Source organism: Homo sapiens, chromosome 16 (assembly GCF_000001405.40).
Source record: "Homo sapiens chromosome 16, GRCh38.p14 Primary Assembly".
Taxonomy (NCBI): Eukaryota; Metazoa; Chordata; class Mammalia; order Primates; family Hominidae; genus Homo; species Homo sapiens.
In genome coordinates, this window is record NC_000016.10 from 4415063 (window position 1) to 4437937 (window position 22875).

Consider the following 22875-nt stretch of genomic DNA (forward strand, 5'->3'; position numbering starts at 1 on the left):
TCGCAATGTTGCCCAGGCTGGTCTCGAACTCCTGAGCTCAAAGCAGTCCACCCAAAGTACTGGGATTACCGTGAGTCATGGTATCCAGCCCCTCCCCCTAACTTTTCAATGGCTCTGCACTGCAATCAGAATAAAACCCAACTTCTTCCGGTGGCCCTTGGGTTCTGCAGGACCACTCTGGACTCATCTGTCACCATACTGCTCCGGCCATCCCCTCCATCCACTCATGCTCACTTTCCATTTCTCCACCAGGCTCTTTCTCAATTCTCACCCTTCTGGCCTCAGCTAAAATGCCATCTACTCCAGGCAGCCTTTCCTGACCACGCTACTGAGACTGGCCCCCTCCATTCTCCATCCCAGTCCCTCATGTGTGTTCTTCAATGTCGTTATGAAAACCTCCAATGCTCTTGTTTGTCTGCTTGCTGTCTCCCTCATGAGGCTACAAGTGCCACAGGGGAAGGAAAATGCCGTTGTGTTCACCGGGATGTCTCCAGCAGCTTAGCACAGCATAAAGTGGAAGCAGAGGAAATATAGTCCACACTACAAAAACGGAACCTCTACCCAGACTGCCCTGACTTGCTCTGGGACCCTGATGGGGTCACTTGAGGTCAACTCCTAGGCCCAGTTATCGGAGGACACTCCCAGGCCTTACAAATAACACGGAAAGCGGAAGAGCAGAGCTGACATCGTTTCCAAGGCGCACCCCTCATCAGTCCTCCTGCCGTTTCGGGGGTCCGAAGGGTCTCCCGGCACCTGGCTCAGCAATTCTTTGGGGCTCCACCTGCTCAGGCTTCCCCAGGCCCCACCCAGCCGTGGCAGCATCACCGAGATAAAGAAAGAGCTTGCGCCAGCGGCGAGAGGAGGAAGCACCGGCGGAAACCCGAGGGAGGGGCGCGTGCGGCCGAGGGGCTCCCTCCCCACCACTGACACACTTGGGCTCGCCGGGGCCAGAGGAGAGAGGGGCGTCTCCCCACAGCCCAGCCAGGGGCAGGGGCGACCCGGGGCGGCAGGGAGGAGGAGCCAGGCGCCGGCAGCGCCCCGAGCCCCGGCTCCCGGCGAGGCCGACCGGAAGCTGGGAAGGCAGGCGGCCTCGCAGGCCTGGGCCCCGGCTAGGAGGGCTGCGCCGCCTCGGGGGTCCCGGGGCGAGGTGGGCGAGGCGGGCAGACCGCCAGGGTCACCGAGCGCCAGAGCGAGTCACGGGAGTGCCGGACTCTGCCCTCCGGCGGCGACGAAACGGCCCGGACGCCGGGGCCCTGGCCTGAAGGGGGGTTCCCCGGGGATGGAGGTCTCGGGGTTCCAGACGGCCCTGGAGGGCACCCCTGTGGGGTCCGGGCAGGGGGAGGGGCAGCCGGACGGGGCCCGAGGCGACAGCGCCCGGTCCTCGGGCCGGACTCACCTCGCGGCGGGGCGGCCGAGCCTCGGTGTGCCGGAACTTGGACACCCTGAAGCGGTTCATGGCGACGGGCACGGCGGCGGACGCGTCTTCGAGGACCCCGGGCGTCGGGTCTCAGGTGCACGCTGAGCAACCGCGACTCCCGCTGCCTCGGCCCCACCCGGGACCCAATGCCGCGGTCACGCCCCCGGCGCGCCCCACTGCCAATCGCAGCCGTCTCCGGCCCCCTGGGCCACGCCCCCAAGCCCCTCTCCTTTCGCGCGCGCACCACCGGTCCCGCCTCCCGGCCAATCCAGGTACGGCCGCCCCGCGAGGCCACGCCCTGATACCGAGGGGACGGACTGGCGCGGGTGGGAGGTCACGTGGGGCGCAGCTGTCAGCCCACGTCTCCTGCGGTGCTTGCTTGCGTGGGGTCTCGGCTGCAGCATTCGCGATTTTGTGTGCAGGATTTGCTGTGGAGTCTTTGCGGTGTACCTAGCACGCCTTCCAGCACTATCTACCTCTTCCTGTAGAGAGGGGAGAAATTAGCTCCATTTCAGAGACAGGAAACCCCCGGCTAAAGGAGAGTGTAAACTGTCGGTCCCCAGGTCACACCAGTGGTAAGAGGCAGAGGGGGAACAGGGGCCCAGGTCTAAAGCAAATCCCTGTCCACCGGGCCTACTCAAAAGCCTCTGCATCCGGCCAGGCGCTCTGCATCCGGCCAGGCGCGGTGGCTCAGGTCTGTAATCCCGAACTTTGGGAGACTGAGGCAGGAGTATCCCTTGAGCCCAAGAGGTCGAGGCTGCAGTTATCTGTGACCGTGCCACTGCACTCCAGCCTGGGAGACAGAAAGAGACCCTGCCTCTAAAAATAATAATAATAATAGCTTTTAATTTTTCTTTAGTATTTATTCATTTATTTGACACGGAGTCCCTGTCACCCAGGCTGGAGTGCAGTGGCGCGATCTCAGCTCACTGCACCCTCTGCCTCGCGGGTTCAAGCAATTCTCTTGCCTCAGCCTCCCGAATAGCTGGGATTACAGGCGCCTGCCACCGCGCCCAACTAATTTTTTATTTTTAGTAAGAGACGGGGTTTCACCATGATGGTCAGGCTGGTCTCGAACGAGACTCAAGCAGTCCTCCCAACTTGGCCTGCCAAAGTGTGGGGATTATAGGAATGAGCCAACGCACCCAGCTGATTCTTGCATTTCTAAGGTTTGAAAAGCAATGCTTACATTTTATCTTAGTTCGGGCAGAAGTGTATTTACTGTGAACCAAAGTCACTTGTGGTTTATTGAAAAGGCTTTTTGTTTGTTTGTTTTGAGACAGAGTCTCACTCTGTTGCCCAGGCTGGAGTGCAGTGGTGTCATCTCAGCTCACTGCAACCTCCACCTCCTGAGTTCAAGCGATTCTCCTGCTTCAGCCTCCCAAGCAGCTGGGATTACAGGTGTGCGCCACTACTCCTAATTTTTGTATTTTTAGTAGAGATGGGATTTTGCCATGTTGGCCAGGCTGGTCTCAAACTCCTGACCTCAAGTGATCCACCTGCCTCAGCCTCCCAAAGTGCTGGGATTAGAGGCATAAGCCACTGCGCCCAGTCCAAAAAGGTTTTTAGAAAATCATCAGGTTGGCCGGGCGCGGTAGCTCACGCCTGTAATCCCAGCACTTTGGGAGGCCAAGGTGGGTGGATCACCAGGTCAGGAGTTCAAGACCAGCCTGGCCAAGATGGTGAAACCCTGTCTGTCCTAAAAATATAAAAATTAGCTGGGCGTGGTGGTGGGTGCTTGTAATCCCAGCTACTTGGGAGGCTGAGGCAGAGAACTGCTTGAACCCGGGAGGCGGAGGTTGCAGTGAGTCGAGATCGTGCCATTGAACTCCAGCTTGGGTGACAGGGCGAGACTCTGTCTCAAAAAAAAAAAAAAAAAGAAAAAAAAAGAAAATCATCAAGTGGCTGGGCATGGTGGCTCACGCCTATAATCCCAGCACTTTGGGAGGCCGAGGTGGGTGGATCACCTGAGGTCAGGAGTTCAAGACCAGCCTGGCCACCATGGTGAAACCCCGTCTCTACTAAAAATACAAGGCGTGGTGGCAGGTGCCTGTAATCCCAGCTACTCGGGAGGCTGTGGCAGGAGAATCACTTGAACCCGGGAGGTGGAGGTTGCAATGAGCCGAGATCATGCCATTGCACTCCAGTATGGGAGACAAAAGCGAGATTTTGTCTCAAAAAAAAAAAGAAAGAAAGAAAATCATCAGGACAGTGGTCCCACTGGATCCTAGGCGACCGAGGCACAGCTCATCATCCCCTTTCATAGGGAACTGCACCTGCTACAGACATCACAGACCAGAACATCTGGACCACACATTCCTCACCCACTTGGAATTGTCCTATACTCTGTGTGAAGTAAAGAAAATGCTATACTTAAGACAAATCATGCCCCTGAAGAGCTGGGCTCAGGCTCTTCTGCCCTCTGTAAAAGATCTCTGAGCTCACATGGGAGAGTTGCAGCCATTGGCAGCCATGAACTTGGCCAGTCCCATTATACTTCAAATGATCAGTGGTTTCAGCAAGAAATCACAGAGACCGTCTTGTCTCCCATTGCCTTCAGCCCAGCACTGTCGGGGAGCACCATTAAACCCCTTCGCAGCTCTCACAGATATCCACAGCTCAGGAGATGGGGAAAGTGCTCTGTGGAATTGCTGGTCTAGTGAAATGAAAGTGTGGAGGGGGAAACGCTTACGACTTTGTGTTCCCTTTGCAAGTAACATTTGTTTCTCCTTTTTTTTTTTTTTTTTTTTGAGATAAAGTCTCTGTTGCCAAGGCAGTGCAATGGTGTGATCTCAGCTCACCATAACCTGTCTCCTGGATTAAAGTGATTTTCCTACCTCAGCCTCCCGAGTAGCTGGGATTACAGGTGCATACCACCATGCCTGGCTAATTTTTGAATTTTTAGTAGATATGGGATTTCGCCATGTTGCCCAGGCTGGTCTCAAACTCCTGAGCTCAGGCTGTCTGCCCACCTCGGCCTCCCAAAGTGCTAGGATTACAAGCGTGAGCCACTGTGCCCGGCCTGTTTCTCCTTAAAGCTCACATTTTTGAGCTTCTGCCTGGAGAACACGGGATCATATTCTGACTGGCACTGAGGATAGGTGTAGCTTGTGGCTTCTGCAGTCTTTGGCAACAAGCCTGGGATGGATCCATTTGTGTCCAGTTGCAGCAGAAGTCCTTGAAAGGCAGGGCAGCAGTTTGTACCCATGGTAGTAATAAATGCTTGCCCTGCCTCTCTTTTGTTGTGAAAAGCAAATGAAAATAAGCATGAGAAAGTACTTCAGAAACTCCCAAGAGCCATATGCTTGGGAGATACTGATCGCAATGACGATTGATAGGCACGTGGTTTAAAGGAAAAACACACAGTTTTGTTGTGAGAAGACCTGGGCTTGGGTCTTCATTCACTCACTTACTAGCTGTGTGGCCTTGGACAAGTCTTTTCATCTTTCAGAGCTTATTTTATTGTTGTTTTTTTTCTTTGTGGGCGGGGTGGTGTCCGTTTGTAAAAATGGGAATAGTCCTCCCGCTACCTACCTCATAGGGTTGGGCTCATATCAAAATAGAAAACAAAGCCAGGGAACAGTGGCTCATGCCTGTAATCTCAGCAGTTTGGGAGACTGAGGCGGGCAGATCACTTAAGGTCAGGAGTTCGAGACCAGCCTGGCCAACATGGCGAAACCCCGTCTGTACCAAAAATACAAAATTAGCTGGGTGCAGTGGTGCATGCCTGTAATCCCAGCTACTCAGGAGGCTGAGGCAGGAGAATCGCTTGAACCCAGGAGGTGGAGGTTGCAGTGAGTCAAGATCGTGCCATTGCACTCCAGCCTGGACAACAAGAGCAAAACACTGTCTCAAAAATAAATAATAATAAAGTCTAACCAAAAAGAGACCAGGCATAGGCCCAGGCTGCTCTCAGCTGGGAGTCTTTCCCATGTTTTTCTTTCTTCTGTGTGGCAGATCCCAAGGACTTTGTCCTCTCTTTTGGTAATTACCATCATCCACTCCACTCCTTAAGAGTTCTCTGCTTCATAATAGAAAATACTGGCTCCCCAACAATCAGCCTTCCTGCTATCCCTGAAAACAAGAACACACACACCATTTCAACGTGGAGGATTTTTACTGTTCATCACTATGGGGAACTAGATGGGGGATAAACGAAAATACAAAGAAAAAAAGGGGGGGAAGTTACAACGGTGACAGTTTTCATATTACTGAGCTCTCCTCTAGTTCCTAACTCACTCTGAGGTAGTAAATGGAAGTCCTTTTGGCTCTTGTTTTCAGCTTCTATACTTGAAAGTTGTTCTTCTCAACCAGCAGCATCCCCCCAACCCCCATTTCTCCTAAGTTTTGGGCTCCCCGTGAGTAAGTAACTCTGTCTGAGTTCTTAGTATCCTCAGTGCTTAGTACAGCCTGGCACATGGGGCCAACACAGATTGAGCAATGGCTACGCATCAAGTACTATAGGAAGCCTTTACATGATTATGTCACTCAGATGACCCTTTGAGGACATTACTATTTTTTGTTTTGCTTTATTTTGAGACAGAGTCTTGCTGTGTTGTGCAGGCTGGAATGCAGTGGCGTGATCTCGGCTCACTGCAACCTCCGCCTCCCAGGTTCAAGTGATTCTCCTGCCTCAGTCTCCCCAGTAACTGGGACTACAGGTGCGCGCCACCACGCCTGGTGAAATTTTTTTTTTTTTTTTTTTTGAGGAAGAGTCTCACTGTTGCCCAGGCTGGAGTGCAGTGGTGCAATCTCAGCTCACTGCAGCCTCCACCCCCTGGGTTCAAGTGATTCCCATGCCTCAGCCTCCAAAGTAGCTGGGATTATAGGCACGTGCCGCTGTGCCCGGCTCATTTTTGTATTTTTGTAGTGACAGGGTTTCACCAAGTGGCCCAGGCTGGTCTTGAACTCCTGACCTCAGGTGATCCACCTGCCTCGGCCTCCCAAAGTGCTAGGATTACAGGCGTGAGCCACCACACCCGGCAATTTTTGTACTCTTTAGTACAGATGGGGTTTCACCATGTTGGCCAGGCTGCTCTTGAACCTCAGGTGATCCCCCCACCTCGGCCTCCCAAAGTGCTGAGATTACAGGCGTGAGCCACCACGCCTGGCCGACGTCGTTACTATTAAGTCCTCATTTATTTATTTGACATATGGTCTCCATTTGTCACCCAGGCTGGAGTGCGGTGGCACAATCATGGCCCATTGCAGCCTCAGCCTCCCAGACTCAAGCAATCCTCCCACCTCAGCCTCTCAAAATGCTGGGATTACAGGTGTGAGCCACCGTGCCTGGCCTATGTCCCCATTCTAGAGAAAAGGAAACAGAAGAACAGAGTGAAGTAAGTTGCCCAAGGACACACAGCTGGTAAGTGGCACAGCTAGAATTCAATCCCAGGCTGTCTGACTCCAGAGCTATACTCTTTTTTTTTTTTTTTTTTTTTTTTTTTTTGAGAAAGTGTCTTGCTCTGTTGCTCAGGCTGCAATGCAGTGGCACTATCATAGCTCACTGTAGACTTGAACTCCTGGACTGAAGTGGTCCTCCCACCTTGGCCTCCCAAATAACTGGGACCACAAGCATGCGCCACCATGCCCGGCCAATTAAAAAATTTTTTTTTGTAAAGATGAGGTCTTGCTATGTTGCCAAGGCTGGTCTTGAACTTCTGGGCCCAAGTGATTCTCCTGCCTTGGCCTCCCAAGGTGCAGGGATTGACAGGCATGAGCCACCATGCCTAGCACAGAACCCATACTCTTTTTCTCTTTATTTTTGAGACAGAGCCTCACTCTGTCGCCCAGGCTGGAGTGCAGTGCCGCAATCTTGGCTCACTGCAACCTCCATCTCCTTGATTCAAGCAATTCTCCTGCCTCAGCCTCCCGAGTAGCTGGGATTATAGGCGCCTACCATCACGCCCGGCTAACTTTTGTATTTTCAGTAGAGACGAGGTTTCTCCATGTTGGCCAGGCTAGTCTCCAACACCTGACCTCAGGTGATCCGCCCGCCTCAGCCTCCCAAAATGCTAGGATTACAGGTGTGAGCCACCGCGCCTGGCCACAGAACCCATACTCTTTTTTTGTTTGAGACGGAGTTTTGATCTTGTTGCCCAGGCTGGAGTGCAGTGGCGCGATCTTGGTTCACTGCAACCTCTGCCTTCTGGGTTCAAGCGATTTTCCTGCCTCAGCCTCCCCAGTAGCTGGAAATACAGGCATGTGCCACCATACCTGGCTAATTTTTGTATTTTTAGTAGAGACGGGGTTTAACTATGTTGGCCAGACTGGTCTTGAACTCCTGACGCTGTGATCTGCCCTCCTCGGCCTCCCAGAGCGCTGGGATTACAGGCATGAGCCACCGCGCCCAGTCAGAACCCGTATCTTTTTTTTTTGAGACAAAGTCTCACTCTGTCACCCAGGCTGGAGTACAGTGGCACTATCTCAGCTCACTGCAACCTCCGCCTCCCGGGTTCAAGCAATTCTCCTGCCTCAGCCTCCCGAGTAGCTGGGATTACAGGCGCCTGCCACCATTCCCGGCTAATTTTTGTATTTTTAGTAGAGACAGGGTTTCATCGTGTTGGCCAGGCTGGTCTTGAACTCCTGACCTCAGGTGATCCGCCCGCCTCAGCCTCCCAGAGTGCTGGGATTACAGGCGTGAGCCATTGTGCCTGGCCCAGAACCCATACTCTTCATCACTATGCTGGTCATTTAAGTATTTGCTGAATGTATTAAAGGAACTCTTGCTCACCTCCCAACACCCTTGTTCATCTCAGTCCTCCCCATTCCGTAGCCCAAACTCTCTCCAACTATTACTTGCAATTTACAATAGCTTGGTCACTGTTCTTCAAAGGACTGGTGGTTTTATTTATTTATTTATTATTATTATTTTTTTTTGAGAGGGAGTTTCACTCTTGTTGCCCAGGCTGGAGTGCAATGGCGCGATCTCGGCTCACCGCAACCTCCGCCTCCTGGGTTCAAGCAATTCTCCTGCCTCAGCTTCCCGAGTAGCTGGGATTACAGGCATGCGCCACCACATCCAGCTAATTTTGTATTTTTAGTAGAGACAGGGTTTCTCCATGTTGGTCAGGCTAGTCTCGAACTGCTGACCTTAGGTGATCCGCCTGCCTCAGCCTCCCAGAGTGCTGGGATTACAGGCGTGAGCCACCGTGCCTGGCAGGACCGGTGGTTTTTAATCTTCGAGTCTCAATGCCTGTGGAGAATTTGACGAAAGCTATGGGTATCTACCCAAATTAACATCCACGTACACAAAAATTTGGTGTACAATGCTGGGAGTAGCGGGGAGGGGGAGTAGCACAGATTCCCAGGCTTTGGGGATGGGGGTGAAGATTTATGAGCACAGTTTGTTTTAAATCCAAACAAGAATCCTCAGGTTTTTTCCCCATTGCTTGAGGTGGTTATGATGGTGGGAGTGTGAAAATTGAAAGTCCTTTGCAAGACTAACCAGGTCAGGTCTCCCTTCCTAGCCTCATCTCATCACATACTTTTTTTTTTTGAGACAGAGTTTCGCTCTTTTTGCCCAGGCTGGAGTGCAATGGCGTGATCTCGGCTCACTGCAACCTCCACCTTCCGGGTTCAAGCCATTCTCCTGCCTCAGCCTCCGGAGTAGCTGGGATTACAGGCATGCGCCACCACGCCCGGCTAATTTTGTATTTTTAGTAGAGACGGGGTTTCTCCATGTTGGTCAGGCTGGTCTCGAACTCCGGACCTCAGGTGATCCGCCCGCCTCGGCCTCCCAAAGTGCTGGGATTACAGGCGTGAGCCACTGCGCCCGGCCACCACTTCTTTTCTTTTTTTTTTTTTTTTTGAGATGGAGTTTCTCTTGCCCAGGCTGGAGTGCAGTGGCGCGATCTTGGCTCACTGCAACCTCCGCCTCCTGGGTTCAAGCGAGTCTCCTGCCTCAGCCTCCCGAGGAGCTGGGATTACAGGTGCGTGCTACCATGACTGGCTAATTTTTGTATTTTTCGTAGAGACGGGGTTTCACCATGTTGGCCAGGCTGGTCTGGCACTCCTGACCTCGTGATCCGCCGGCACCTCGGCCTCCCAAAATGCTGGAATTACAGGCGTGAGTCACCGCGACCGGCCTCATCACATACTCTTAAATTTAGGGTTTAAGCAAAGAAGGCAAACACTTTCATATCTTAGACATTTGTTTCTTAAGTTCAGGCTACTTGGAATACTCCATCCCTACCTGACACACTTTTCATCGATGTTCAGTTTGAATCTTACCTCTTAGAAGCCCTGACATCCCAAACTTCCTCTCTCCCATTTTAGAAATGGAATGACTCCTTCACCTTGTATGACTGTAACAGTGCTTATTCCTGTGATAGCATTTAACATTGTTAGTTGCTAAGGAGCCTCTCTCGAGTCATTGTTTGCTCCTCCCGAACAGGGATGGTGTATCAGGCATCACTGTATCCCCGATATTCTAGAACATGCATGACACACAGTAGGCGCTCACAAGTTTTACTAATTTAGTTTTTGGGCAGCACGGCTCCCATTCGGAACCAGCAAGTTCACTGCAGGTTTGGAGAAGGCTAACACGCTTAAGGAGAGAGCTGAGGTCGGCGCGGTGGCTCTCGCCTGTAATCCCAGCACTCTGGGAGGCCGAGACGGGTGGATCACGAGGTCAGGAGTTCAAGACCCAGCCTGGCCAAGATGGTGAAACCCCGTCTCTACTAAAAATACAAAAAAATTAGCCGGGCGCGGTGGCGCGCGCCTGTAATCCCTGCTACTCGGGAGACTGAGGCAGAGAATTGCTTGAACCCGGGAGGAGGAGGTTGCAGTGAGTTGAGATCGCGCCACTGCACTCCAGCCTGGCGACAGAGCGAGACTCTCTGTCAAAAAAAAAAAAAAGAAAAAAAGGAGAACTGAGTCTTGTTAGAGGAGGCGGGTGGGGAATCAGCCTAAGAGACAGTGAGACTGCGGCCAGGATTCTGAGGGTGGCGACGAAGATTTACTAGAAGCGCGCGGAGACGGCATGAGTAAAACTCACGCAATTCGTCGTAAGTCTCAGGGTCAGCAGGAGGAAACCACGCACTACATGCTGGGAGCGGCGCGACGGAGGACCGCGTTGTATGCTGGGACTTGTAGTCTCGCCCTTAGCCAGACCCCTCGGACCACTTAAGTTCGGCTACATTCAACCACGTCCTTACACCGATAACGTACACCCATTGGTTGTCTAGCACAGAATAGCGAGGTTCTGCACGGCGAGTCTACCTAACAACACTCTTCAGAGCAAACCCCGTTTCGGCGATGGCTACCCGGAAGGCGCGTTGGCTGCGGCTACGCGTACGGTGCGCCTGCGCGTGCGCGACGCATGCGCCTCTACGCGCGCCCGCCGTTCCCGCGAGGCCCACCTAGAGCCGGGCGGCGCAGGCGCAGAGTCCCCGGGCCAAGATGGCTGCGCGGTGCTCCACACGCTGGTTGCTGGTGGTTGTGGGGACCCCGCGGCTGCCGGCTATATCGGGTAGAGGGGCCCGGCCGCCCAGGGAGGGCGTGGTGGGGGCATGGCTGAGCCGCAAGCTGAGCGTCCCCGCCTTTGCGTCTTCCCTGACCTCTTGCGGCCCCCGAGCGCTGCTGACATTGAGACCTGGTGTCAGCCTTACAGGTGAGGGCAGGTTCCAACTTCCGAGTGGCGGTTTCAGGGCCTAGAAAAGAGTGAGTCTCCTCGCTGTGACTACGGCTGCAGGGGTAGTGGGGTGGAGGGTGTCTTCCGACGCGGATGCACAATTGCCGGAGACACAGACAGGCAGGAGGCGGGGAGGCCCCAGTGGCTGCTCAGCCGTCAAGGAAGGGAGAGAAGCGTGGAGCCCCCGGCGGCGGTGATGAAACGCCCCGTAGATCGTGAACCTTCACCTCTCTGTCAACATTTCTGGAGGCCGCTGCTCCCTCGTCCTCTTCCTTTCCCATCTCTCCACCTTCTAGCCCGTAGCGGAAGGGAAGAGCTAACTGCCATTCGGAGAGGCCTAGGTACTTTGTTACAACAACCCTGCAAGATGCCTGCCGTCATCACCATTTTAAAGAATGAGAAACTGAGATTCAACGGAGGAATCGACCAGCCCAAGGTCATGGAGTTAGACTAGAAGAGTTGTCTCAAACCCAAAGCAGTCATGTCATAGTTTACGCTCTTTCTACCACGTGGTGCTAATTGAAGGGCACAGTTAACAATCTTTTTAGAAGTCTTTAGTTGGTGATTGTAATAATAACACAGTCAGACATTTATTGAGCACTTACTGTTGGCCAGGCATGGTTTTCCCCTTACATCACATTTCCACATGATAGGCACTGTTATTCCATTTTATAAAGATACTGAGGCTTAGATGTTAAACCACTTATAAATGTCACAAGGAGGTGGAGGCTTGATATCATTGCCTGAGATGACACTGAATTATACATTAAGCCTTGAAGTGCTTAGTCATGTTTTCTTTTCTTTTCTTTTCTTTTTTTTTTTGAAACTGAATCTTGCTCTGTTGCCCAGGCCGGAGTGCAGTGGCTCAATCTCGACTCACTGCAACCTCCGACTCCTGGGTTCAAGAGATTATCCTGCCTCAGCCTCCCCAGTAGCTGGAACTAGAGGCATGCGCCACCACGCCTGGCCAATTTTTGTATCTTTAATAGAGACGGGATTTCGCCATGTTGGCCAGGCTGGTCTCAAACTCCAGACCTCAGGTGATCCGCCTCCCCTTGGCTTCCCAAAGTGCTGGGATTACAGGCGTGAACCACCGTGCCCTGCTTAGCCTTCTTTTCTTATGCCGTGTGTTTTGTGCTGTGTGTTGTACGTACCTGAATTGTGCTAGTTTTGTGTCCTCTAGAATTTGTGCAAATGGTATTTAAGCTATCTATAAATTTATAAAGATTAATTAAAGGGCCCTGACAAGATAATTTATACCAACTAACTTCCTGTTGCAATCCAGTTTGTAATAGTTACATAGTAGACAATCATTAAAGTATCAGTAATTGTGGTTACTTCATGCAATGTAAAGAAAAGAGCCTGGGCTTCAGGGGTGAACTTCCCCAGCGTCTGTGAGCGGGGTGTATTATTTAACCCCTTCGAGCACCTGTCTGAAAATTCATTCATTCACAGGTGTTAATTGAGGCCAATTGTATGCCAGCCACTGTTCTGGGCACTGAGGAGATGGCAGAGAACAAAGAGATTGGATGTGTGTTTGGTTAAGAGAATGATTATTTATGTATTTAATTATTTTTTAAGACAGGGCCTCCTGTTGCCCAGACTGGTGCAGAGGCACAATTACAACTCAGTGCAACCTTGACCTCCCAGGTTCAATCGATCCTCCATCCTCAGCCTCCTGAGTAGCTGGGACTACAGGCATGCACCACCACACCCAGCTAGTTTTCTGTAGATGGGGTTTCACCATGTTACCCAGGCTGGGCTAAAGTGATTCCCTTGCTTCAGCTTCCCAAAGTGCTGGGGTTACAGGCATCAGCCACTGCACCTGGCCAACAGAATGAATTTTTTTTTTTTTTGAGACGGAGTCTCGCTGTGTTGCCCAGGCTGGAGTGCAGTGGCGCTATCTCAGCTCACTGCAAGCTCCGCCTCCCGGGTTCACGCCATTCTCCTGCCTCAGCCTTCTGAGTAGCTGGGACTACAGGCGCCCGCCACCACGCCCAGCTAATTTTTTGTATTTTTAGTAGAGACAGGGTTTCACCGTGTTAGCCAAGATGGTCTCGATCTCCTGAACTTGTGATCCACCCGCCTCAGCCTCCCAAAGTGCTGGAATTACAGGCTTGAGCCACCGCGACCGGCCTTATTTTTATTTTGAGATGGACTCTTGCTCTGTTGCCCAGGCCAAATTGCAGTGATGTGATCCTGGCTCACTTCAGCCTCCCAAGATGCTGGGCTTATAGGTGTGTGCCACCATGCCAGGCTAGATTTTTCAACATGAGCAAAAGTGGCCATTTTTAGAGCTTGCTAACATTTTCTAATGTCAAGGTTGTTTTAAATAGAATCTGGCTGCATCTTTTCATTCAAATATTAATCCTTAGGTGACTTGTTTTATTAAGCCAAATTTGTTCATGTTCCAGCTGTACAAATTTGGGAGCACTCGTTATTATTGTGTATGTGAAAGAGAGAAACAGGCACTAAACACTAAGCTTTGTGTGAAGCTGTGACTAAGGAACTGCGGTTAGCTGTCTTGTTCCCCAAGTGAGCTCATAACCTGCCATGGGCAAGTTTTATATCAGGTAGTGTACACAGGTGAGAGGTGGCATCCTTCAGGGTACGTGCTGTTTTCACAGATAGAGTCATCAACTGGTTGGGCGGGGTGGCTCACGACTGTAATTCCAGCGCTATGCTGGCGCTGAGGCAGGAGGATCACATGAGCCTAGCAGTTTGGGACCAGCCTGGGCAACATAGGCAGATCCCATCTCTACAAAAAGATTTTTTTTTTTTTTTTTTTTTTTTGAGACGGAGTCTCACTCTGTCGCCCAGGCTGGAGTGCAGTGGCACGATCTCGGCTCACTGCAAACTCCGCCTCCCGGGTTCAGGCCATTCTCCTGCCTCAGCCTCCCGAGTAGCTGGGACTACAGGCACCTGCAACCGCGCCCAGCTAATTTTTTGTATTTTTAGTAGAGATGGAGTTTCACTGTGTTAGCCAGGACGTCTCGATCTCCTGACCTCGTGATCCACCCGCCTCCGCCTCCCAAAGTGCTGGGATTACAGGTGTGAGCCACCGCGCCCGGCCAAGATTTTTTTTGTTTGTTTGTTTGAGACGGAGTCTTGCTCTGTAGCCAGGCTGGAGTGCAGTGGTGCGATCTCGGCTCACCATGATCTTGACTCACCGTGATCTCGGCTCACCGCATCCTCCGCTTCCTGGGTTCAAGTGATCCTCTTGCCTCAGTCTCCTGAGTAGCTGGGACTACAGGCACGTGCCACCACTCCCAGTTAATTTTTGTATTTTTAGCAGATACTGGATTTCACCATATTGGCCAGGATGGTCTCGATCTCTTTACCCATGATCTGTCCACCTCAGCCTCCTAAAGTGCTGGGATTACAGGTGTGAGTCACCGCGCCCGGCCTACAAAAAGATTTTTAAAAATTAGCTGACTGTGGCCGGACATGGTGGCTCACGCCTGTAATCCCAGCACTTTGGGAGGCCTATGCGGGCGGATCACCTGAAGTCAGGAGTTTGAGACCAGCCTGATCAACATGGAGAAACCCCGTCTCTACAAAAAATACAAAATTAGCCAGGCCTGGTGGCGCATGCCTGTAAACCCGGGTACTCGGGAGGCTGGGGCAGGAGAATTGCTTGAACGTGAAAGTCGGAGGTTGCCGTGAGCCGAGTTAGCGCCATTGCACTCCAGCCTGATCAACAAGAGCGAAACTGTGTCTCAAAAAAAAAAAAATTAGCCAACTATGGTGGCAACTGCCTGTACTCCCAGCTGCTTGGGAGGCTGAGGTGGGAGTTTCACTTGAGCCCAGAAGGTTGAGGCTGCAGTGAGCCATGATGATGCCACTGCACTCCAGCCTGGGCAACAGAGTATGACTCTTTCTCTACCAAAAAATTAATAAAGTCATCAACTGAGAAGCCATGTGGTGGCGAGCCTCTATAGTCCTAGCTACTCAGGAGGTTGAGGTGGGAGGATTGCTGGAGTCCAGGAATTTGAATTTGGCCTAGGCAACATAATGAGACCCCTGTCTCTTAAAAAAAAAAATTTTGAAAAGGTCATTAACTCAGCGTCCAAACACTAGTCTGTGATCTTGTCTCAAATCTAGTAGTAAGATGACATAACAACATTTTAGATGTGACTTTTCTTCCAAGCAGAAAGAAAGCAGTTGTTGGTGGCCAGGTATGGTGGCTCATGCCTGCAATCCCATTACTTTGGGAGGTGGGTTGATCGCCTGAGGTCAGGAGTTTGAGACCAGCCTGGCCAAGATGGCCAAAGCTTGTCTCTACTAAAAATAGAAAAAGTTGGTCAGGCGTGGTGGCGGGTTCCTGTAATCCCAGCTACTCGGGAGGCTGAGACAGGAGAATCGCTTGAACCCAGGAGGCAGAGGTTGCAGTGAGCCGAGATCGCGCCACTGCCCTCCAGCCTGGGCAACAAGAGCCAAACTCCCTGTCAAAAAAAAAAAAAAAGAAAGCAGTTGTTGGACAGTGGGTTGGCCATTCTTAGAACGACTTGGAGGCTTATTTTATTCTGGGTTGTTCTAAAAAGGACAGGACATTTACTGGTCATATGTGATAAAATAAATAGTCTATTAAATGAAATCTAATTATTGTTAATCATTGATGCCCTATGGATAATGTCAAAAGTCATCAGACTGGGGATGGTGGCTCATGCCTGTAACCCCAGCACTTTGGTAGGATGAGGCCGGCGGATCACTTGAGGTCAGGAGTTCGAGACCAGCCTGGCCAACATGGTGAAACTTCTTACCTACTAAAAATACAAAAATTAGCCAGGTGTGGTGGTGTGCGCCTATAGTCCTGGCTACTTGAGAGGCTAAAGCAGAAGAATCGCTCGAACCTGGGAGATGGAGGTTGCAGTGAACCGAGATCACACCACTGCACTCCAGCCTGGGTGACAGAGTGAGACTCTGTCTCAAAAAAAGAAAAAACAAAGCCATCAGTCTTGTAATTAAACGTGATTTGTCTTTATCCACATGCAGTTTTGTGCGTTACTATCTCTGTACTAACTCCTGTCCGTGTTCTCTGCCCGTAATGTTGAAGCCACAGCTGCCACAGGTCACTACCAGCCTCCGCCTTGTGGCATTGGAATGAGTGGTGAGAGAGAGGCTGGACTGGGCCGGGCAACCCCTTACTCCGAAATAAAAAGAGGGTTGAGTACAAGTTCAATAATAAGTCAGGTCTAGTGTTTTCTCAAGTCTGACTGAAGAAACACAAAGTGGTCTCCTGACCCCTACTACTTCCAGTGTGCTTTTTGTATCCCGAGGATATTGGGTGTGCCAAACACACGGATTTATTTCCTATTTCTAATTTTAAGTATCCTGACCATTCCTATCCATTCTCCTGTCTGATCATCCTTTACCTGGCCTCCTACTTGGATGTGCTCAACCAACCTCTGGTTGTGTTTTGTGCTGATTAACTTCGAGTAGTCTCCCAGGCTTCCTAGAGTTGTTTCTCTTTTTTTTTTTTCAGGTGGAGTCTTGCTCTGTCGCCCAGGCTGGAGTGCAATGGCGCGATCTTGGCTCACTGCAACCTCAGCCTCCCAGGTTCAAACAATTCTCATGCCTCAGCCTCCCAAGTAGCTGGGATTACAGGCGTGCACCACCATGACCGGCTAATTTTTGTATTTTTAGTAGAGACAAGATTTCACCATGTTGGCCAGCTTGGTCTCGAACTCCTGACCTCAAGTGATCCACCCGCCTCGGCCTCCCAAAGTGCTGGGATTACAATAGGCGTGAGCCACCTTGCCTGGCCTAGAGTTGTTTCTCATGCAAACCTAATGGGTTCTTTGTTTAACATTTGCAGTGGCTCCCTATTGCTCTTAGGATAAAATCCAGACTCCTTAGCATAGCTCTAAGGCCCTTCCTATTCCTAGGCCCCATTAATCGTTATCATCTCTAACCACCACTACCACCACTGCCATCTAGTTTAGTTATAGGTATAAATCTGTATGGATTCAAAGTCCTCTTTAGCCTATTTCTGTCTCTCTCTCTTTTTTTTCCATGTCATAAGTTTATTTACAAACATCTAGTATGTCATATAAGTTCAAGTCTTTGATCCATTTATTTATTTATTTTTAATAGAGACAGGGTCTCTGTGTTGCCCAGGCTGGTTTCGAACTCCTGGGCTCAAGCGATCCTCACGCCTCAGGTTCCCAAAGTGCTGGGATTACAGGCGAGAGCCACTGTGCCCAGGCTTATTTTTCTTTCTTTTTTTTTTTCTTTTTTTTTTCTGTGATGGAGTTTCACTCCTGTTGCCCAGGCTGGAGTGCAATGGCGCGATCTTGGCTCACTGCAACCTCTGCCCCCCAGGTTCAAGCGATTCTCTTGCTTCAGCCTCCTTACTAGCTGGGATTACAGGCATGTACCACCACATCCGGCTAATTTTGTATTTTTAGTAGAGATGGGGTTTCTCCATGTTGGTCAGGCTGGTCTCTAACTCCTGACCTCAGGTGATCCGCCCGCCTTGGCCTCCCAAAGTGCTGGGATTACAGGCAGGAGCCACCATACCCGGCCCGGCTTATTCACTTTTTAAACAGATTTCATCTATTAAAACACCTCCAGTCTGGGCGTGGTGGCACACGCCTGTAGTCCCAGTTACTTGGGAGGCTGAGGCAGGAGAGTCGCTTGAACCCAGCAGGCGGAGGTTGCAGTGAGCCAAAATCGCACCACTGCACGCCAGTCTGGGCAAGAAGAGCGAAACTCCGTCTCAAAAAACAAAGAAACAAAAAGCCTGCCGGGCACGGTGGCTCACGCCGGTAATCCCAGCACTTTGGGAGGTCGAGGCAGGCGGATCATGAGGTCAGGAGATCGAGACCATCCTGGCTAACACGGCGAAACCCCGTCTCTACTAAAAATATGAAAAAATTAGCCGAGTGTGGTGGCAGGCGCCCGTAGTCCCAGCTACTTGGGAGGCTGAGGCAGGAGAATGGCGTGAACCCGGGAAGTGGAGCTTGCAGTGAGCCAGGATGGCGCCACTGCACTCCAGCCTGGGCGACAGAGCGAGACTCCATCTCAAAAAACAAAAAACCTGCTCTTCCTATCTGTTAAGTGGATGAACTAAAACATCCTTGTTTCTTAAGCAGTTGGTGTCTTGCTATTAAAAAAGGTGCTGTGAATCCAGATCCAAAGTACAAAGTCATCCTAGTTAGTAACCGCCATTTGTTTTCCACTGAAAGTGGCAAATGCTTTCCTGGGCAGCTTAGCCAGTTTCTGCAGCTTAACAGCTGATGCCTAGAAGTTCTTCCCCGACCTTCTTAGATTGATTTGTCATTGGTTCTCAGCAGGGGACACTTTTACTTCCCAGGGGACATTTGGCAATGCCTGGAGACGGGGAGTTCTCTACTGGCATCTAGTGGGTGGAGACCTCCTGAGTTTCTGGTGAATGTCTGGAGTAGGGCTTGAACATCTGTGTTTTCATCAGTCTAATGATGCTGTTGGTCCAGGGAGCGCAGTCTTGAGAACTGCTCCTTAAGTAGATACCCAAGGCTGCAAGATAGAGGGAAAAGAATGTGGGGAGTTGTTAAGCATTAAATGTGACAGAAAAATATGAAAATATGAAAATACCTAGCAAATGGTAAGTGCTCATGTGGCATAAGAGGGGGGAGCTGAATCCCTTTTTAATCATCTCCCAGTCAGGAGTATTATTCCTTTAGTGGTTTACTGAGACCACTCCAGTAGTATAAGCGAGGAGAATCAGCCTCATCCAATACTCTGACATAGTTTAATATTAATTGAATACTGTGGCTTCCTTAGCCATTATTGAAGTGCATTAGGGAACAGCCCTAAAGCTGTAGCCTGTGTATTAGTCTGTTCTCATGCAGCTAATAAAGACATACCTAAGACTGGGTAAATTTTAAAGGAAAGAGGTTTATTTAACTCACAGTTCAGCACGGCTGGGGAGGCCTCAGCGATCGTGGCGGAAGGGGAAGCAAACACATCCTTCTTAACATGGCAGCAGGAAGAATGAGCAAAAGGGTGAGCCCCTCATAAAACTATCAGATCTCATGAGAACTTACTATCGCGAGACCAGCATGGAGGTAACCGCTCCTGTGATTCAGTTACCTCCCATCAGGTCCCTCCCATGACACGTGGGGATTATGGGAACTAAAATTCTAGTTGAGATCTGGGTGGGGACACAGCCAAACCTTATCAGTTTGTTTGTTCCTTCACAGATATAGCCTGGTGGGTCATGTACTCACAGTTTTCTTTTGTTGAGAACATTCCCAGAGTGATTTTCTTTGTTTTTTCCTTTTTAGGAACAAAACATAACCCTTTCATTTGTACTGCCTCCTTCCACACGAGTGCCCCTTTGGCCAAAGAAGATTATTATCAGATATTAGGAGTGCCTCGAAATGCCAGCCAGAAAGAGATCAAGAAAGCCTATTATCAGGTCTGTATGGAAGTCAGGTTTTGGTGACCAAATTGTAGTAGGAATGTTGTTGATCCCATGTGATCCTGATCAGTACAGCGTATGTGCCCATATGAATAGGTCTCATGAGCTGATAGTATAGAAGGGTGTGATAAAGCTGGACTTTGCTAGACTGTTTTTCGATGCACAATGCTGTAGAGGTTGGTGCTTCAGAAAAAAGAGGTGAGTCCAAACCAGAGATTTTAAGAAGTTTTTTTTTCTAGAGCTGTTTTCATAATTAAATTTAATCTGTATTTTCTGAATCAGTAGATATGCTAGTCTAAGTTTTAGGTAGTTATTTTTTGCATCCAGATAAAAGTTTAGAGGTTTAGAATTACTTCCTTTCCTTTCTTTTTTTTTTTTTTTTTTTTTTTTTTTTGAGATGGAGTCTCACTCCATTGCTGAGGCTGGAGTGCAGTGGCGCAATCTTGGCTCACTGCAACCTCTGCCTCCTGGGTTCAAGCAGTTCTCCTGTGTCCGCCTCCCAAGTAGCTGGGACTATAGGCACCTGCCACCACACCCGGCTAATTTTTTTTGTATTTTTAGTAGAGACGCGGTTTCACTTTGTTGGTCAGGCTGGTCTTAAACTCCTGACCTCAGGTGATCCACCTGCCTCAGCCTCCCAAAGTGCTGGGATTACAGGCGTGAGCCACCGCGCCTGGCCCTTTCTTAACCTGGAAAATGTGAAATTCCCATTGTATCCCAGGGTCTATTAGGGTAGTTAGGGTAGCTGAGTAAAGTTGTATACGAGATGTCTACACCACTGGTTCCTAGACCCTTGGTTTGCTCTGACCAACAAAATAAAATCAATATTGGAGGCACCATTGTAGGATTGACAGCTTTTTATAAGTGCACAGTTCACTGGAGTTGTGCACCTGTCACCACAGTCAACTTTAGGACATTTTCATTACCTCGAAAAGAAACTCTGTATTCATTAGCACTCCCCTTCCATTGTCCTCTCTCCCCGGTCCCTAGCAGCTGCTAATCTGCGTCCTGCCTCTTTGGATTTGCCTATTCTCAATATTCATATACAGGGAATCATACAATATGTATCCTTTTGTGTGTCTTGGCTTCTTTCATTCACATAATGTTTTCAGGGTTCATCTGTGTTATAGTTTGTGTCAATACTTCATCCCTTTTTATGGTCAAATAATCTGTTGCATGGATTAATCACATTTTGTTTATTCATCGTTTGATGGACATTTGGATATTTTCCACTTTTTGCTATCATGAACAGTGCTGCTATATAGACATTCATATGTAAGTTTTTGTGTAGACATGTTTTCAGTTCTCTTGGATATTTAGGAGTATAGTTGCTGAGTCATATGGTAACTGGATGTTTAACCTTTTGAGAAGCTGCCAGCCTTTTTCAAAGCAGCTGCACCATTTTACATTCCCACCAGCAGCATATGAGGGCCATGATTTCTCCACATCCCAGTGAACACTTAACTATTATCGTCTGTCTTTTTAATTACGACCCTAGTGAATAAGAAATGCTATCTCGTTAGAGTTTCGATTTGCTTTTTCCCTGATGACTAATGATGGTGAGCATCTTTCTTGTGCATGTTGGCTATTAGTATGTCTTTGGAGAAACGTGTGTTTGGATCCATTGCCCACTTTTAACTGGGTTGTCTTTTTTTTTTAATTGGGTTGTAATGGAATGAACAGAGGCATGGGGACAGGAAGCAGAGATCCTGGCCTGTGAAGAGCGAATGGCCTGTCTCTTCCTGAGCTCAAGAGTCAGGTGCCTGATCCAAGAGTGGGAAAAGATTGAAAAGATGGAGGCTGGGTTGGACTCACATGACAGTTGATTTGAGGCCCTTAGTAAGTCCCAGAGACATAATTTAAGAGAAAGACTTAATTTAGAGAACCATTCAGATTTTTAGGCACGGAAGTAAAAAGATCAGGTAAAGCTGTAGCAATTACTGTATTTTATTTACCTACAAAAATAATTGAAACAGCAGAGACGTCTATTTATTCAGTCATTTTCTTCCCTTTTTAAAAATTTTTTCTTTTTTCAGACAGAGTCTCGCCGTGTGGCTCAGGCTGGAGTGCAGTGGTGCAGTCTTGGCTCACTGCAACCTCTGTCTCCTGGGCTCAAGCAATTCTCCTGCCTCAGCCTCCCGAGTACCTGTGTTTATAGGCGCGTGTGACCATACCTGGCTAATTTTTGTATTTTTAGTAGAGATGGGGTTTCGCCATGTTGGCCAGGCTGTTCTCAAACTCCTGACCTCTGGTGATCCACCCAGCTCAGCATCTCAAAGTGCTGGGATAACAGGCATGAGCCACTGCGCCCGGCCCCCTTTTTAAAAATTTGTTTTTCTTTTTTGTTCATTTACCTATTCTAAGCCATGCTGGGTGCTAAGGGCAAAGATACATCAGAATCAGTTCCTGCCCTCAAGTTAAGAGATGGATACATTAAAACAGATCATTATTATTATTATTTTGTGGGGCGGACAGAATCTCACTCCGTCACCTAGGCTGGAGTGCAGTGCCTCGATCTCTGCTCACTGCAACCTCCACCTCCCAGGTTCAAGTGATTCTCGTGCTTCAGCCTCCTGAGTAGCTGGGACCACAGGCATGTGCCACCACGCCTGACTAATTTTTTCTATTTTTGGTGGAGAGGGGTTTCGCTGTGTTGCCCAGGCTGGTGTTGAACTCCTGAGCTTAAGTGATCTGCCTGCCTTCACTTCCCAAAGTGTTGGGATTACAGGCGTGAGCCACTGCACCCAGCCGAGAGACAACTTTTATAAAGGGAACATAATTATGACTGGTATTTGGGGTTCTGTTGTATCGGGGGTTTTGTTGTTTCTGGTATTTGGGGTTCACATTGTATCTGGAGTAATTTATCATGTTTTTCCCTTAGCTTGCCAAGAAGTATCACCCTGACACAAATAAGGATGATCCCAAAGCCAAGGAGAAGTTCTCCCAGCTGGCAGAAGCCTATGAGGTAATATGACTTCGGTGCATGCGGTCACTGCTGTTCAGCTATGTGTATGAATCAAAGGTTGCATTGCTACCTGGGACAGCCTGGTGTGTCATACAGTCCAGTGTGAAGGCCATGTCCCTGCGCCAAGTAATCTTGTTAAGAAAAATAAAAAAAAAGAGATTCCAGGCCAAGCATGGTGGCTCACTCCTGTAGTCCTAGCACTTTGGGAAGCTGAGGCAGGAGGATCACTTGACCTCAGGAGTTGGCTTGACCCTAGGAGTTTGAGACCAGCTTGGGCAATGTAGTAAGACCACGTCTCTACAAAAAAAAAAAAAAAAATCACCAGGCGTGGTGGTGGCGCACCTGTAAACCCAGCTACTTGGGAGGCTGAGTCAGGTTCATCACTTGAGGGGCTCAAAGCTGCAGTGACCCATGATGCCATGATTGTGCCATAGAACTATGGTCTGGGCAAC

At 49.7% G+C, this 22875-nt stretch overlaps 3 protein-coding genes and 1 long non-coding RNA gene across 13 annotated transcripts in view; 1 reads left to right on the forward strand and 3 right to left on the reverse strand.

Moving 5' to 3' along the window:
• The window catches only part of CORO7-PAM16 (CORO7-PAM16 readthrough), a 76346-nt gene extending 74812 nt beyond the window's left edge, over window positions 1-1534 (reverse strand). Inside the window, exon 1 of the mRNA NM_001201479.2 lies at window positions 1397-1534. Within this exon, the coding sequence (NP_001188408.1) occupies window positions 1397-1456 (60 nt within the window). The 5' untranslated portion in view covers window positions 1457-1534. The remainder of the gene's footprint in view (window positions 1-1396) is intronic.
• Window positions 1-1534, reverse strand: part of CORO7 (coronin 7) — a 62055-nt gene extending 60521 nt beyond the window's left edge. For 3 of the 4 annotated variants that reach the window (NM_001201473.2, NM_001201472.2, NM_024535.5), the window contains exon 1: window positions 1397-1534. In NM_001201473.2, coding sequence (NP_001188402.1) covers window positions 1397-1456 — 60 coding nt within the window. In that variant the 5' untranslated portion in view covers window positions 1457-1534. Of the gene's footprint in view, window positions 1-652; window positions 836-1396 lie in introns of those variants that run through there. The other variant, NM_001351729.2, reaches the window with a different exon arrangement.
• LOC124903635 (uncharacterized) lies at window positions 1663-10727 on the reverse strand. 4 transcript variants are annotated; one of them, XR_007064963.1, is made up of 3 exons: window positions 10416-10727; window positions 5297-5491; window positions 1663-1899 (listed from the first exon to the last, which is right to left on the reverse strand). It is a non-coding gene; the product is annotated as an uncharacterized LOC124903635 (long non-coding RNA). The 4 variants fall into 4 exon arrangements; XR_007064962.1 differs by having other exon boundaries at window positions 1678-1899; window positions 5410-5491; XR_007064960.1 differs by having other exon boundaries at window positions 1678-1899; window positions 5410-5491; window positions 9650-10727.
• DNAJA3 (DnaJ heat shock protein family (Hsp40) member A3) overlaps window positions 10806-22875 on the forward strand; it is a 30908-nt gene continuing 18838 nt past the window's right edge. For 3 of the 4 annotated variants that reach the window (NM_005147.6, NM_001135110.3, XM_047434875.1), the window contains exons 1-3: window positions 10806-11030; window positions 19322-19455; window positions 22340-22423. In NM_005147.6, the coding sequence (NP_005138.3) occupies window positions 10820-11030; window positions 19322-19455; window positions 22340-22423 (429 nt within the window). In that variant the 5' untranslated portion in view covers window positions 10806-10819. The remainder of the gene's footprint in view (window positions 11031-19321; window positions 19456-22339; window positions 22424-22875) is intronic. The other variant, NM_001286516.2, reaches the window with a different exon arrangement.